Source organism: Homo sapiens, chromosome 6, assembly GCF_000001405.40.
Source record: "Homo sapiens chromosome 6, GRCh38.p14 Primary Assembly".
NCBI lineage: Eukaryota > Metazoa > Chordata > Mammalia > Primates > Hominidae > Homo > Homo sapiens.
Window position 1 is genome coordinate 88,525,339 of NC_000006.12, and position 16,003 is coordinate 88,541,341.

Sequence of the window (16,003 nt, forward strand, 5' to 3'; positions counted from 1 at the left end):
GCTGGTACCAGTTTTTCCTTTCCATGTTTAGTGCTTCCTTCAGGAGCTCTTTTAGGGCAGGTCTGGTGGTGACAAAATCTCTCAGCATTTGCTTGTCTGTAAAGGATTTTATTTCTCCTTCACTTATGAAGCTTAGTTTGGCTGGATATGAAATTCTGGGTTGAAAATTCTTGGCTTTAAGAATGTTGAATATTGACCCCCACTCTCTTCTGGCTTGTAGAGTTTCTGCCGAGAGATCCACTGTTAGTCTGATGGGCTTCCTTTTGTGGGTAACCTGAACTTTCTTTCTGGTTGCCCTTAACACTTTTTCCTTCATTTCAACTTTGGTGAATCTGAAAATTATGTGTCTTGGAGTTGCTCTTCTCAAGGAGTATCTTTGTGGCATTCTCTGTATTTCCTGAATCTGAATGTTGGCCTGCCTTCCTAGATGGGGGAAGTTCTCCTGGATAATATCCTGCAGAGTGTTTTCCAACTTGGTTCCATTCTCCCCGTCACTTTCAGGTACACCAATCAGATGTAGATTTGGTCTTTTGACATAGTCCCATATTTCTTGGAGGCTTTGTTCATTTCTTTTTATTCTTTTTTCTCTAAACTTCCCTTCTTGCTTCATTTCATTCATTTCATCTTCCATCACTGATACCCTTTCTTCCAGTTGATCGCATCTGCTCCTGAGGCTTCTGCATTCTTCACATAGTTCTCTTGCCTTGGCTTTCAGCTCCATCAGGTCCTCTAAGCACTTCTCTGTATTGGTTATTCTAGTTATACATTCATCTAAATTTTTTTCAAAGTTTTTAACTTCTTTGCCTTTGATTTGAATTTCCTCCTGTAGCTCGTAGTTTGATCGTCTGAAGCCTTCTTCTCTCAACTCATCAAAGTCATTCTCCGTCCAGCTTTGTTCCATTGCTGGTGAGGAACAAAGGAGGAGAAGTGCTCTGCTTTTTAGAGTTTCCAGTTTTTCTGCTCTGTTTTTTCCCCATCTTTGTGGTTTTATCTACTTTTGGTCTTTAATGATGCTGATGTACAGATGGGTTTTTGGTGTGGATGTCCTTTCTGTTTGTTAGTTTTCCTTCTAACAGACAGGACCCTCAGCTGCAGGTCTGTTGGAGTTTGCTAGAGGTCCACTCCAGACCTTGTTTGCCTGGGTATCAGCAGTGGTGTCTGCAGAACAGTGGTTTTTCATGAACTGCGAATGCTGCTGTCTGATTGTTCCTCTGGAAGTTTTGTCTCAGAGGAGTACCCAGCCGTGTGAGTTGTCAGTCTGCCCCTACTGGGGGGTGCCTCCCAGTTAGGCTGCTCAGGGGTCAGGGGTCAGGGACCCACTTGAGGAGGCAGTCTGCCCATTCTCAGATCTCCAGCTGCATGCTGGGAGAACCACTGCTCTCTTCAAAGCTGTCAGACAGGGACATTTAAGTCTGCAGAGGTTACTGCTGTCTTTTTGTTTGTCTGTGCCCTGCCCCCAGAAGTGAAGCCTACAGAGGCAGGCAGGCCTCCTTGAGCTGTGGTGGGGTCCACCAAGTTGGAGCTTTCTGGCTGCTTTGTTTACCTAAGCAAGCCTGGGCAATGGTGGGCGCCCCTCCCCCAGCCTCACTGCCACCTTGCCGTTTAATCTCAGACTGCTGTGCTAGCAATCAGCGAGACTCCGTGGGCGTAGGACCCTCTGAGCCAGGTGTGGGATATAATCTCCTGGTGCGCCATCTTTTAAGCCCGTTGGAAAAGCGCAGTATTCAGGTGGGAGTGACCCGATTTTCCAGGTGCCATCTGTCACCCCTTTCTTTGACTAGGAAAGGGAACTCCCTGACCCCTTGTGCTTACCAAGTGAGGCAATGCCTCACCCTGCTTCCGATCGCGCACGGTGCACTGCACCCACTGACCTGCGCCCACTGTCTGGCACTTCCTAGTGAGATGAACCCAGTACCTCAGATGGAAATGTAGAAATCACCCGTCTTCTGCTTCGCTCATGCTGGGAGCTGTAGACTGGAGCTGTTCTTATTCGGCCATCTTGGCTCCTCCCCCTGGCTTAGGTTTTAAATAGGATTGGTCTGGTTGCTGAGGTAAGAATAGACAGTAGGGGGGTCAAAGTAGAAGCAGTGAGACCCCTTAGGAGACTATCACATAATCCAAGATGTTGAGGTCTTTCCCAATGCTGAGGGAGGGAAGGAAAGAAGGAAAGAAGGGGAGGGAGGGAGGGAAGGTACTTCAGCTTGAGTAGAGTGTGGAGCAAAACTTAAAGTGGGCCAAGGGGAATTATTGCTGGAAATGTCCTTTGAGGCCAGATCAGGGCAGGCTTTTAATGCCACACAAGAGATTTGTACTTCATGTTTTAGGACATGGAAAGCCCTTAGAGGTTTTGGAGAAGGTGAATACCATCAGACCTGGTCTTAGAAGGACACTCTGCTACCACTGTGTTAAAGAGGGTAGATAGCAGAGACAGGGAAACCAGTTCCAGGGCTGCACAACCTCTGGTTTAGAGATGCTGAGGCCTGAACATGTGCAGGGCCTGCGAGCTTGCTCTTCATTAGCCCTAGAAAGATGTTCGTCTTTATCAATAGCCCCAGTACCAAAAGTATTAAATGTATCTGGGCTCCTGAAATGAAAAACAAAACAGGTAGAGATTCACACTTCTCAAAAACTCACTGATCTAAGAAATGAGAAGACCTGCTCCTTCTTGCATTCAACCCTCCACGGAAATATGCACACCCATCTGCACACCTGGAACTCTTTGTGCCCCACACATGCCAGCGTGCTCACAGATAAGTCATCAGAAATGGAGGAACAGAGTTGATTTTCATGAAACTATTTGATGATGACCCATCCCAAACCCCTGTTTGAAACCCTCCAGCAGATTCACCCAAGATTAGAGAATGCTCAGTGGTCTAACTCCTGCACAGGGGCCTTGGTAGCAGCCCCACCAGTGCCCACTTCAGGGCATTTGTCATGTGAGGGGGGCTCACCATTCTTCACATTCTGGGAGAGGCCTTTGACTATGGTAGCCTCCTCACCTCTCCCCACCTGCCTCTCCTACTCTGCCCAGAAGAGGAGAAAAGATCTATCTGATTGGTGAGTTTGGGAGGGAAAAAACAAGGCTCCTTGGCTCAGCCTCTTCTCTCCTTCCTGGAGGCACCATTTCTTCCCCTTCATATGCCCCCAGTACCAGCAGCTGTCAGCTGCGACAGGGACTAGGCAGGTAGGTCTAACTCAAAAGCAAGGTATTAGCAAGCCTGCATGGCCACAGCTGCAATGCTGCATTTTCCAGCCCAGTGTTAGCAGTAACAGACACAGTATTTTGCTCTGCATCTTTCTGGGTCCACTATTCTTCTCTTAATTGGTTCTAAACTCAGAAAAGGAAGAGAGAGCTGCTCTTTCACCCCTTTATATTAGTAGGGCAAAGGCTAAGTTGCTGTAACAGTGGCCCAAGAGGTCAGTGGCTTAAATAAGACAGAAGTGTGTTTGCCTCACACACAGCAGAGGTGAGCAGTCTAGACTGGCGGCAGGTTCCACTTCACACACTCTTTGGGGACCCAGGTTCTCCATCTCAGGTCCTGGCATCCCCAGTGTTAGCCTCACAGGCATGACGAAGTCTGGGTCACACTGCCCATCCATCACAGCCCACAGGAAGGGAGATGAGAGGATAGAGGAGCAAGTGCCCAGTGTCATAAGGCCATGGCCTAGAGGTGGTACGTGTCACTTCCACTTCCCTTCAAACCCAGTACTACGGCCAAAGCTGCCTGTGAGGACAAAGGACATCTCTAGCTCGGTGGCTCCACCCGCCCAGCCACTCCACCTCTCATTTCTTCGGATGATTCACTGATTCCAGCATTCACCGTGTCCTTTCACAAGATAGAATAATAACATCCACATAGCTGCACAATGCCGGGCTGGATGGAGCATCATTGAAGAGCATGGTCATTCTTGGACAATGTCATTATGAGGAAGCAGCTCCTTCATCCTGCCCCTTCTCAATGGGGCTGCACGGGGCTCTTCCTGACCATTCTACGGGGCGAAGAAGCTGAGTTTTCACCACCTAGCAGCCATGAGTGGGAGCCAGGTCTCAGCCTTGCCTGACACATAGAAGGCACTTGGCGATATGTAGAGCACTGAATAAATGAGTGGGTGGGTGGGTGGGTGTGGGATCAGTCCTCTTCCCAGGCTGATGCTTGCTCTTGCGGGCTATGCCAAATCACTGTGCCTCTTCAGAAGCAGGCCATCCCTGGGTAGGAACACTCTGAGGCATGGCCAGCAAGAAATAAGACCAGAGAAAGCATGGTCAAATAAGCACAGATAAATAAATAAATAAAAAATTTAAAAACCTTAGCTCTTTGTTTTCTTTGTTGTGGAGAGCCCTGCCATAAAAATGACACTGGGCTTATTCTCTCCAGTATCTACATGTTTTAGAAAATCCCCTTTCTGAAGTCTTTTCTGTCTGATGTTGGCTATTTCTCTGAGATTTATGTCATAAAGGCAGACAAACAACAAGGGTCTGTCTGTGCCTCATGGTGGAGAGTGTGTCTGTGTGCACAGGCAGGCCCCGGGTGGACTGGTTATCAACCTGCCGGGGATGCAGCCCTGACTAAGCTGGCATTTTGATTGCAGCCGCCGAGAGAGAACTCACCATTTGTTGACTAGAGATTGAGATTTTCCAGTCCTCAACTAGGACAAACCAAGATGCTCTTGTAGCATGCTGAGCTTCACTGACAAGTTCCATGCCCCAGTTTTCCCTCTTATGAAAGAAGGTCAGGTACCAATTCACCATGTAGAGCTGTTTTGAAGAAAAATTAAATAAAAAGACATGGCAGGTAACTCCAATCTCCCAGGCCCCGCTTGAGGTCTGCCTCATTCCTCTCATTCTTTTACCCTATGTGACCCCATTTTTTATGCTACTGATCTATCAAAGCAGCTGAGATCCCATAAGAAGAATAATCCCACCTTCTGAGCTACCATCCAAAGAAGTTCATGGAGTGCACAGTGTTAGGAGGATCCCAAAAGGCTGTAAATTCATAGGTCTGCCTTCTTGGTAATGTCCTTTAACAGACTTTTAAAACCTCCCTCTTACAAAAGAACTTGTCTTAGTGAGCAGGTAAGAAGCCTGAGGAAGAAAGGAGATTTCAGTGGAATTGATTTCATCTTCCTAAGTACCCCTGGAGTCCAAAGATCAAGCCACAAGTGCTACAAAGTAAAAGGTAGCATTACCTTGCATTTGGAGACACTCTCATCCTGCCGTGAATCAGAAAGAAGGTAAGGAGGGAGGGAAGGAAGGAAGGGAAGTGAGGAACAAAAGAAGGGAGGAAAGAAGGAAGGAAGGAGAGGGAGGGAGGGAGGAAAGGCAGGCAGGCAGGCAGGCAGGCAGGAAGGAAGGAGAGGGAGGATTTTATTTCTCTGTTCCCACTGGCCTCTTCTTCAGGGCAGACTTTGCTGCAGCCTTCTCCAGCTCAGGCACTGACACTGGCTTAGCTGGGCCCTAACACTTGGCTGCTGGGTGCCCCAGAGGATTTAGAAGGCACAGGGCCCTCTCCCTCCTCTAACTCGCCCTCAGGCTATGGGTCCAGAGAGCATTACCACCAAGGAGGAAAAAGAGAAATTTGGGGAACCCGAGAGACCGAGATCGCTGAAATCTGAGACCAGAATGCTATGACCTCTGCTTGTTTGTTGTAAGCGCCTGAGCACAGGCTCTCCACTTGCTGTGAAAGGCCATATTTATCTCCTCAGAAGGCAAACATTTTGTACCTAACCAAGAGAGAATTTTCTTCTTAACACAGTTCTGCAGGAGGAAGCCAAGCTCTCCCTCTGAGAGGTCTGAGTATTGTGCGTCGAGTACTCTCCCGAACCCTTCTGCTCCTCATCCATTGCAAACAGCCCTGAACAGCATCAGGTTTGAAACTGACCCCTCGAGTTTCTGGTTCTCCCAGCCGTTTCGGGGCCAGGGGCAGGGAACAACATGTTTCTCACCCCACCCTAGAATGGACCCACTCTAAATGGAGAGGCAGACAGACAAAGCCCCTTAGGTGTAGTATGGTGGTTCTTAGGCTCTGCGGCATATCAGAATCACCAGAGGAAAAGTTTACCACCCTGACAACCAGGCCATCCCAGACCAACTAAGCCAGGATCTCTAGGGCTGGGACTAGTCCCCCCAGGTTCACACAGGAAGTCTCCTTAGATGTTTTTCAAGGTATGGATATCCCATCGCAGTAACAAAGAGAGCTAGCAATGGGATGACTGCACATCTTCATTCTGTCTCCCCTCCTGAGCCCTCTCCCAGCAACAGCTGAGGCCCCTGGCATCCTCAGGCACTGGCCAGCCAATAATTTGGGATTGGAAACACTGATCTAGTAAGACAATAATAATGTTAATAACAACTGCCATGTGCTCTGAACCTGGCATTCTATGAAGAGCCTTTACAAATAGCAGCAAATTCAATCTTCTAAAAACTTTAGACAGTGCTCTCCCAGTTTGGGAAACAATCTCCAGGAAGTTAACTGACTGCCATGTCACACAGCTATTAAATAAAAGTGCCAGAATTCCAACTCAGCTCAACTGCACCCATGGTCTGAGCTTTTTAACCATTTTGCCTCAAATGTCCCATATTTTCTTTATTGATATCCAATGACCTGAACCTACCACTTTCCAAAAGTCAGTTCTCAAAAACAAAAAACAAAGAAGCAAAAACAAAAAACAACAAAAAAAAAAACAAGTAGAAGTTAGGAGAGAAACATGGAGCAGGGTCTCCCTTACAGCCTCCAGTAGGAGCCAACCCTGCCAATACCTTGATTTTGAACTTCTGGGCTCCACTACTAAGAGGCCACAACAACAAACAAACAAAAAAACAGTTTACCAAAAGCTAATTTGCTAACTTATCAAGTTATCAAAAATGTCCACAAACCATCTCCAGAGATTATAGCCATATTGGTGCATAGGTGGTTTCAACAGATTTTGGAGATTTTTGCCCCAATATTTAGTTTTGATATCTCCAGCCTGTAGAGAGATAGGCAGAGGCCTTGGCCCTCCACAGCAATAGCCTTTTGCTGCTGAGGCTGGCTCCACAGCATGTCTGTCCTGCTTCATCTGCTCAAATGCCCCCAACCCCAACCCCAGCTCTTGGCCACACTAAGAAAGGAAGAAGGTGAGAGAGAGAGGTTCCTCTAAGCAGGGTCACAGAGCAATGCCACTCAAGCCAGCTCTCCTAGACTTAGAAGAAGTTTTTTTCTCTGTCAGTTTGAGGTAAGCCAGTTCTTCATTAAATTGATTTTCAATGAATTGACAAGAACCCTCCAGTTGAAACCCCTATGCGCTATTGTGGCATCCTGTCACTGCCTAAGGTGAGTATTTGTTATGCTGAACTATAAATGCTTGTTTACTTCCCTCCTGCTTCTTTACTTCCCTCCTGCTGTGACCTTGAGGGCAGGGACCCCTCCATCCCCACCCTTTCACTTTTGTATCTCCATCACCTGACACAGTAGCTCCCTTATTGTTAGGAACCATAAAAAGTATCATTCAAATCAGGAATGAGAGTGAGAGTGGGGGCTAACTCGATGGGATACTAGGACAACTGGCATAAACCAAGGCTGTCCTGAGAAATACAGAGCAGGATCGCTCACCTTGTAGTAGACACTCCAGTGCTGGTTGGATTCATTAAATCAAGAACCTTGCATTATATGAACCAGCTCGTTGTGTGAAGGTGCTTGTCCCACATCTACTCTCAATGCCTGGTGCCACTGAAGGGCACCTGGCATGGAGCAAGCACTCCATAGATACCTTTTGAACTGAACTAATGCACCTTATTAAAACACTTATGTAGTTGGCGTCAAGGATGGTGTTGTGGGTTACACTGTGTTCCCCCAAAAGATAGGTTCACGTCCTAACTCCTGGTGATGATGACGTGACCTTATTTGAAAATAGAGTCTTTGCAGATGTAATTAAGGTAACGTGAGCTTGTATTGATCTAGGATGAATCCGAATCCAATGAAGGATATCCTTACAGGAAGACAGGCATTAGACATAGGCACACAGCAGAGAATACTGGGTGAAGACAGGCAGATGTGGGGGTGATGGATCTCCAAGACAAAGAACACCAAGGATTGCCAGCAACCAGCAGAAGTTAGGAGAGAGACATGGAGCAGGTTCTCCCTTACAGCCTCCAGTAGGAACCAACCCTGCCAACACCTTGATTTTGAACTTCTGGCCTCCACTACTGTGAAAGAATCAATTCCTATTGTGTCGAGCCATCCAGTTTGTGGTAACTTGTTACAGCAGCCACAGGAAACGAATACGGATAACACATTTTCATTGTGAATAAGAATAGAAATGGAAGTACAAACATTGTAACCTGACATACACAGTGCTTCCTCCTTCCCCAGCCCCCTCCCTAGCCTCATTTCCTACTCTGCTCTCCTGGGCACCCTCTACTCCAGCCGTGTGGACCTGTTCACCATTCCAAGGGCATGCTTTGCCATCTCATAATTCTGTGCCTTTACCTAGGTTGTTTCCTCTGCACTTATTTTTCTTCCTTTCTTTCTTTCTCTCTCTCTTTTTTTTTTTTTTTTGATAGGGTTTCACTCAGGCTGGAGTGTAGTGGTGCAGTCTCAGCTCACTGCAACCTCTGCCTCCTGGGCTCAAGCAATTCTCCTGCGTCAGCCTCCTGAGTAACTGGGACTACAGGCACACACCACTGCGCCTGGCTAATTTTTGTATTTTTTTTTTTTTTTTTTTTTAGAGACAGGGTTTCACCATGTTGCCCAGGCTGGTCTCAAACTCCTGAGCTCAAGTGATCTGCCCACCTTGACCTCCCAAAGTGCAGGAATTAGAGGTGTGAACCACTGGACCCAGGCTGCACTTGTCTTTCAAGTCTTAGTTTAACAGCTAACTCCTCTAGAATCCTTCTCTGGCCCTCTCAGGAATAACGATGAGCTCCCTTGAGTGAAGTCCTACAGACTGTTCCTATCTCTTTCCTGGTGTTCCTTACAATTATCTTTATTCTTGGGTATTCCCCTTTCGGGGGCTGAGCCCTTCCAGGAGCTATGCCTCACTTCTCTCTGAATCCATGGTGCGTAACACATTGCTTAGCATGAAGTAGGCACATTGTATTAGTCCATTTTCATACTGCTATAAAGAACTACGTGAGACTATGTAACATATGAAGAAAAGAGGTTTAATTGACTCACAGTTCAGCGTGGCTGGGGAGGCCTCAGGAAACTTAAAATCATGGCAGAAGGCAAAGGGAAAGCAAGACATGTCTTACATGGCAGCAGGAAAGAGAGAATGAAGGGGGAAGTGCCACACTTTTAAACCATCAGATCTTGTGAGAACTCACTCACTATCACGAGAACAGCTGGGGGAAATCCACCCCCATGATTCAATTACCTCCCACCAGGTCTCTCCCCTGTCATGTGGGGATTACAATTTGACATGAGATTTGGGTGGGGACACAGAACCAAACCATATCAGCCATTGTACGAATTCAAGTGACAGGTAGGAGAAACTTGAATCTAGGGAGCTGTGTGAGCTCAGCAAGTAGACAACAGAGTGCGCAGCTGGTTGAGGCTGGAAGATAAGGCTAAGAAAGCAGGTTGGAACCAGACTGTGAAGAGTCTGAGAAGCTGTGAAGACGAGTTTAGACCTTATTCTGTAGACTTCTAAGAGCCTGGGAGGTTTTTCATCCGTGGCCTGATGGGACATGTGCTGTGGAACTTTATGGTAGCGTACAGACAGGCCAGAGTGCAACATGTGTACAGGTTGAAAAGCTCGGCTGGAAGGCATTTGCCCTTCCAGGCAAGGGAAGGAAAATGAATGAACTACAACAGAGGGTTCAGATGGACTCGAGAGATGCGTCTGAGACACAATTAGGAGTCTTCACAGCCAAATTGTTGGGCAAAATAGTGGAGAAAATAAACCAAGGAAGGCTTCGAGGTCCCCAGCCTATGAATATGGATAGGCAATGGTACCATCCATTATTAGAGGAATGCTCAGGAGAAGGGCATGCTTGAAGCAGGACTGGGATGTCTGGAGAGTGAATTCTGTTCTGGAACTACCTGGGGATTCCCTCCTGGGGATTCCCAGGAGCCACTGCATATGTGGTTCTGCAGCTCAGAAGAGAAAGCAGGTTGGAGAACCAGTTGTGGGAGGCACAGACAGTTAGGGGTAGAGTGGATCAGATCCTCCAAGGAGAGTGTGCACTGCAAAAGGAGAAGTGGGTTGTGGCAGGCCCCCCAGGAACACCAATAGCACATAAGAGCTTCTCCATAAGGCCCTCCCTGGACTTCCTTCCTCTGATCCAGCAATGAGGGGGCCCTGTGGTTCTGCAGCTGTCTGCCCTCAGAGTCCTCTGGGCTGCCTCCAGAACAGCTCTCCCACGAGGAATAATTCTTTCAGTTTATCATCTCTCAAAATTTATTTTTCTGTTTGCTAATAATATTCAGGCCCAAAACCCTGTCTCACCAGCTTGAGTTTAATGTGATGAAAATCCATATTCACCTTGAACAGGCTATTTCAGATAACAGATATTTATTTGATCAGACTCCATTATGCCCTCAGCTACCTCCCTGCCTACAACAAAAGAGGTTCAGCCCAAGGTTTCAGAGACCATTGTTCGAGGTCCTTCAGTCCCTGGAACACAGTAACCACAAGAAGAGACAGATTAAAAATTAATAAATGTGCTGTACTCGATGTCTCGCAGTCAAGGATATTTAAGTAGATAAAAGAGCAAGGGGGGAGGGGAAGGTTTCATGGCTAATGGTTTTCTTTATAATTATTAGGTGGGAAAAATGGGTGAAAGAGGTGGGGGAAGGGGCAAGGCAATGAAGACAGAACTTGCCTCTTGCATTAAGAGGCAAGGCCAGCAGAGACGAGGCTCTGTGGACAACTGGGGTATTTTTAGGCTTGGATCGTGCAGGGGGCGGTGCACAATGAAGTGCGGAGGACGGAGACGAAGGAGCAGAACGTTTCCACCCAGGCAGCCTCGCCTAAAGCCTGGCTGGCCCTGACTTGAATAATGAGGCTGTTTGGACTAGCCTGAGGCCAGTAGCAGAGACTTATGTAACAAAACAAAATTTAAAAGTCTTTGGCTTATCTACCATCCTCAAAGAAAATAGGAGGCTTCCGACACTTTGTCATTTTTTGTAGCCATGGAGTAGTTTAGTGTAGCAGCACTGTTGTGGTTACCATCAAAGGAAACGTGTGTTTCCTAATAAGAAGTAAATTAAAATGCCAATAATCAAATAAAACCACCCCCACTCCAAACACACACACATTTGCTGAACCCTGAGTGGAAAAGACAATACTCTTTTTAATGAACTACGAGATCAACGAGATTTATCCCCACCTCCCTAAAAGAGCACCTAGTTAACTAGAAGCAAATCTAAATATTTTCTAATACTGCTGAAGTATTGCAAAACCCAGAACATCAAGAAGTATTCCAAATCAAGCCTGAAGCAAACAAAGATTGTGTTTGGTTCAAGTCGTGCTCATAAAATATACCACTATGCTATTTTAAGGAAACAACTAAAATGTTGTAGATTAACTCCCTATAGAGAACAGAGTACGCTGAGACTGAGGAATTGGTTAAGCATTATATTATCTGTGAAACAGCCTGGCTTTTGGTAAATTAGATCAGATGGATAGAGCTTGGGGAGCTGCAGAGCCAAAATCAGGGCTGGGATGGACTCATGGGCCACCAGTCACTGTTTGGTTTGGGACCATGAGCCAAAAGACCATGGAGAGACAAGGGTACCTCCCTTTCCATGAGGTGGAGCTGATGTGAGGGTGCCTTTTCAAAGCACATAATCCATCCCAAAATGCAGAGCCTGCTGAGGTCCCCAGCACAGTGGCTTGTGACAGGACTCATCCCAGGGAGCTTTATAAATCTACAGGTGCTCAGATCTCACCTTCAGACTCAAATCCAATGGCTGGGGGTGGTGGGGAGGTGAAACAGCTCTGGCATCTGTGGGCATCAAAGCTCTCCCAGGTGGTCTCAATGTGCAATCATGATGGGAGCCCTGCCGTTGCCCATCCTGTTCTGAGGTTGAGTCCCCTTCCCTTCCATTCACATTTCTCCCTAGGCCAGGCAATGCCATTAATACCCCCTCCTCCACCAAGTGTCTGCAGATGGTGCAAAGCCCAGTCACGCTGAAAGCTGAGAGTCGGTGATTGTCTCTAAGTGAGGAGTGATGCAATCTGATTTGTATTTTAGGAAAATAACCATGTAGGCAGGATGGCAGAAGGACTGAGGAGGGAGAGCCTGGGGGCAAGGAGACCAGTTGGGCACTTGACCACTGTCAGCTTTCAAGGCCAGGAAGGAAGAGGGGCCAGGGGTTGGAGGATATGGGAGAGAGTCCAAAAACATGTCTGAGGTGGAACCAACAAATTTGGTGATTGTATGTGAGGGAGCAAAGGCAAGGGAGGAGCTGATGGTAAAATTTCAAGATGGCAAAATAAGGTTAAGAGTGACAAAATTAACTAAAAATAAGATCAACTGTCTCGAGGAAGGAGAAAGGGCACCCATCAGCCTGGAGTGCTTGTCCTCCTTTCTCATCTTAGGCCCTGGAAGGGCTGGAGCCTGTTAAACAGAGCCGACATTAGACCTGGTGCCATGAATTGGTATTGCAATAATTTGAATTGGTGTCTGGACTCTGAACTTCTAAAGGCCAGGAAGCGATCTGGTTCACCTTTTTTAGTCTCAGCACTTAGCCCCATAAGCATGTAATAAGCGCACAACACATTTTTGCTACAAAGACAAGTGGCATAATGGAACTGGGAACAGCCTCACTGGGAAATCTCACTGTTGTCAAGCCAGCCTTATGACAAAGATAGTTTCACATAAAGAGGAGCCAAAACTCCTCATTCACCTGGGCTGCAAATGGCTTGCATGCCTATGATGATGCCAGCAGTGTGCTTTAGGAGGAAGTGTTAATGAGGAAAGGTTTTTAGGCTTGAGGTGTCATGCTTCAGTTTCCAGTGTGGGCAGCCGCTGACAAAAGCCGCTGTCCATGGTAGGTACTGCCTCTGAATGTGGGAGAGGAGGGAGGCAGTTGGGGCCTGAGACCACAGCTTGCTTCTGTCCTTGTCATGGACATGCTGAGGCAGAGGTAGAGGGGCATGGAGGGGCTAGAAGTGAACTTAGCCAGCAGAACCTGGGGAAATGGGGGGCAGGCCACTTTGCTCAACAGCAGAGGAAACCCCTTTGAAGGGGATGCATGGTGGTGGCTACAGCTACAAAAGGAGAGCAATCGTTTCCCAGAGCGCAGGGAGACAGATTCTATGTGCTTCTTCCCAACTGCTCTTCTTTGCTTCAGATCTCCCTGCAACACTCCTTTCTTTTCCCAAGTTTCCTAAAATGACACCATGAATATGTTTAATTAATTAGTCAATCAATAGCCAGTGATTATCAGACAGCTGCTATGTTCGTAGTTAGAGGAAGCTGCCATGTGCAAACTGGGGGCTGACCCAGACCAGTATGTTTCTGACCTCAAACGTGCCTCGGGCAGCATTTGACCTGGTATTCCCATCCCACCTCTCCTTACAGATGCTTTCTAAGTGGTTTAATCCCTCCTGTACCAAGAAAGTGATCATGTCATCTACAGTTACATTTTTCACATAAAATCGCCCTGTCTGATTTTTTCTTTTTTACTCTGAGCCATTTCCCTCTCTCCGTCACCACCATCCCACTCCAATCCTCATGGGAGACAGTGTCACATTTACCAATTAAAAGCACGATATCCATTCTCCTTTGTCTGCAATACTGTGAAGGCTTCATTTTCACATTTCTCTTTGGCTGGAAGTGTTAACTTCCAGTTGCAGGAGGTGAGGGTGGGTTTCCCTTTCCCTGTCTATGAAATTCAGTATACATTTATACTCACTTTCTTTGCCCTGCAGGTTTGCCTCTTGAATTTCTCAGAAGTCAGCAAAATTCTGTGCTAGGCAGAGTCTAGGGGAGCTGTTGTTGACAGCTTGGGAGGGCGGAAAGGACAGAAAAGGGAGAATGGGGGAAGAAAATAAATAAAGAGGAGAGCAAAAGGAAAAATAACTCTGGAGGCAAAAGGGAACTGTCCAAATGGTTTTGGAAGCAACTCACTAGCTCCTGTTGTGTGCCATGGGCTTTTGTTCTCAATGTCTTGAAGTCAGTCACCGCCTTATTTATTCCGTTCTGCGAGCCTGATCCATGTCTAAGCAGACCCCCTGCAAAGACATCCATCATGGAAATGAAGCTGTGTTGCAATAAAACACAACTAAAACTGAAGGGAAGAATTTAAGCTATGAGACAAGGAAAAATATTAACATATAAATATTCAGAGCCTTGCCCTCTTCCCTGCCTGAGAGAGCTCTGGGCTTTTTCTAAGAACATAACAGAAGCTGTGTGGGGGAGAACCTCAAAGCTGGGCTAGGTTTGTTTCAGAAAGAGCAGAGAGTATATATGTAAAAGAGCAGGGAATGCGGGGCCAGGCCCCCACCTACTGGTTAGGAAAACAAGAGGAGGAAGGAAGGAGAGAGACTGCAGTAGGGTAGGGAGAAGCTGCTGTATTGGGTATGGGGGAAGGAGAGAAAGAATTTCTAGTTTTCTGTGCATTACAACTGGTATGTATCTTCAGCATTTTCTCAATAAGCTATAGTGAAGACTCGAGTTACTTTTAAGTATTTTGAAGTGATAGATTGTACTTTGAATGTGACTCCATGCTGAGGAAGAGCCACATGGCAGCTCATCTTTGTATGGGCTACAGATATGTCCTACATCATTGTAGACACTAAGTCTGAGACAACAGCTGTCAAGGAAAGTGGAGTCAGTGGGAGGGGGATGTTCAGACAGAAAGAAAAAGTGGAGGAAACAAGACATTCATGATGGCATAAAGAAGCCAGGCTCAATTTTCCATCACACTATCCTTGAATATTAAGCTCTGTCACTTAGGGAGCAGTCATGAGGCCCAAGGTGTTAATGAAACCCAGAGAGCCGCAGGACCCCAAATCTGCTCTCCATGAAACAAACCTCCTTCTTGTCACTAAACGTCAGTCCGTGGTTTCCTCTGTGACCAAAGCAGCACTGCTGACCCTCATAGGCTAATTGGGAGGTGCCATGGTAGTGAGGGCAGGATTCCTCTGCCAGAGAGGCCATTAACCACCCTTTGCCAGGGGTTAGGGCCTCCCTCTGCCCTCTCCCTTGGCGGTTTCTCCAGATGTATCCACCATCTTGAGGACCAAAGGGGACCTGTGACAGAATAATACCTGCTTAGGGTTTATTGAAGTTATTAACAAATTACCATCGGGAAGAATTCACTTTATAGCCAAAAGAAGTGCTCAGTTCCCAAAAGTCACCATTCAGGATAACTGAGGGGAGAACTGTTTGAGAGTTGCTAGGAAAGTAGGCAGGGGAAGCTCCCAGCCTTGAAGCCACAGTTCCAGCTTCCTGGCTTTGAAAGCCGCACGCCTGAGACTCTATCTGGGCCCTCTGGACAAAAAGCCTGCCACTCAGGCAGGAGTTGCAAAGCACCAGGCTGAATAGAGGGCTTGACCCCGAACACGCAGGCTCCAACTCTCACCACCCCTGCCTTCCACCCCGACCTCCTCAAGTAGAAAGTAGGAATTCTCTCACCCTATGAGATGTCATTTTTGTCAAAGCAGTCATGGCAATCCTATTCTGAGATCTCAGCCTCTAAGAGTGGCCCAGGGAGCCCCAATTCTCCCTGAGGCCCAGGGTCAAGTTTTGGTGCCCAGTAGTTAAAATTGTGTAAACACCATGATCTCTGTTAAACTCTACACAACATATATAGATAAAAGATTGAAAACATAACCCCTGGCTACTCGAGAGTTAATCTTATTTTCTCCATCAAATAAAACTTTTCTATTTTCTCAATTTTAAGCCACAATCATTTGTAACTTTGGCAATCACAAAATCTCTCTATTATTGTGAAAATAATTAAAAGCCCTTGCTCTGCCCCTGATTACCCAAGAGTAATTACCCTCTCTAAGCCTTTGTCTTCTCATCTGTGAAATGAGAAAGTTGTGTGTGTGACTTGCTTGCTAAGATCCC

At 46.8% G+C, this 16,003-nt stretch overlaps 1 long non-coding RNA gene across 1 annotated transcript, besides 1 other annotated feature; it reads right to left on the reverse strand.

Moving 5' to 3' along the window:
- Window positions 1–585: 585 nt before the first annotated feature.
- On the reverse strand, window positions 586–14,031 carry LOC101928936 (uncharacterized). The gene is made up of 3 exons (NR_110867.1): window positions 13,842–14,031; window positions 4,610–4,756; window positions 586–4,222 (listed from the first exon to the last, which is right to left on the reverse strand). It is a non-coding gene; the product is annotated as an uncharacterized LOC101928936 (long non-coding RNA).
- Window positions 4,458–5,657: an enhancer, noted in NCBI's record as "CDK7 strongly-dependent group 2 enhancer chr6:89239515-89240714 (GRCh37/hg19 assembly coordinates)". NCBI's record gives its function as "activates an origin of replication core promoter dependent on BRD2, BRD4, P300/CBP, MED14 and CDK7 cofactors, with strong dependence on CDK7, by STARR-seq in HCT116 cells {active_cell/tissue: HCT116}" and the evidence as "EXISTENCE:reporter gene assay evidence [ECO:0000049][PMID:35650434]".
- Window positions 14,032–16,003: the final 1,972 nt, after the last annotated feature.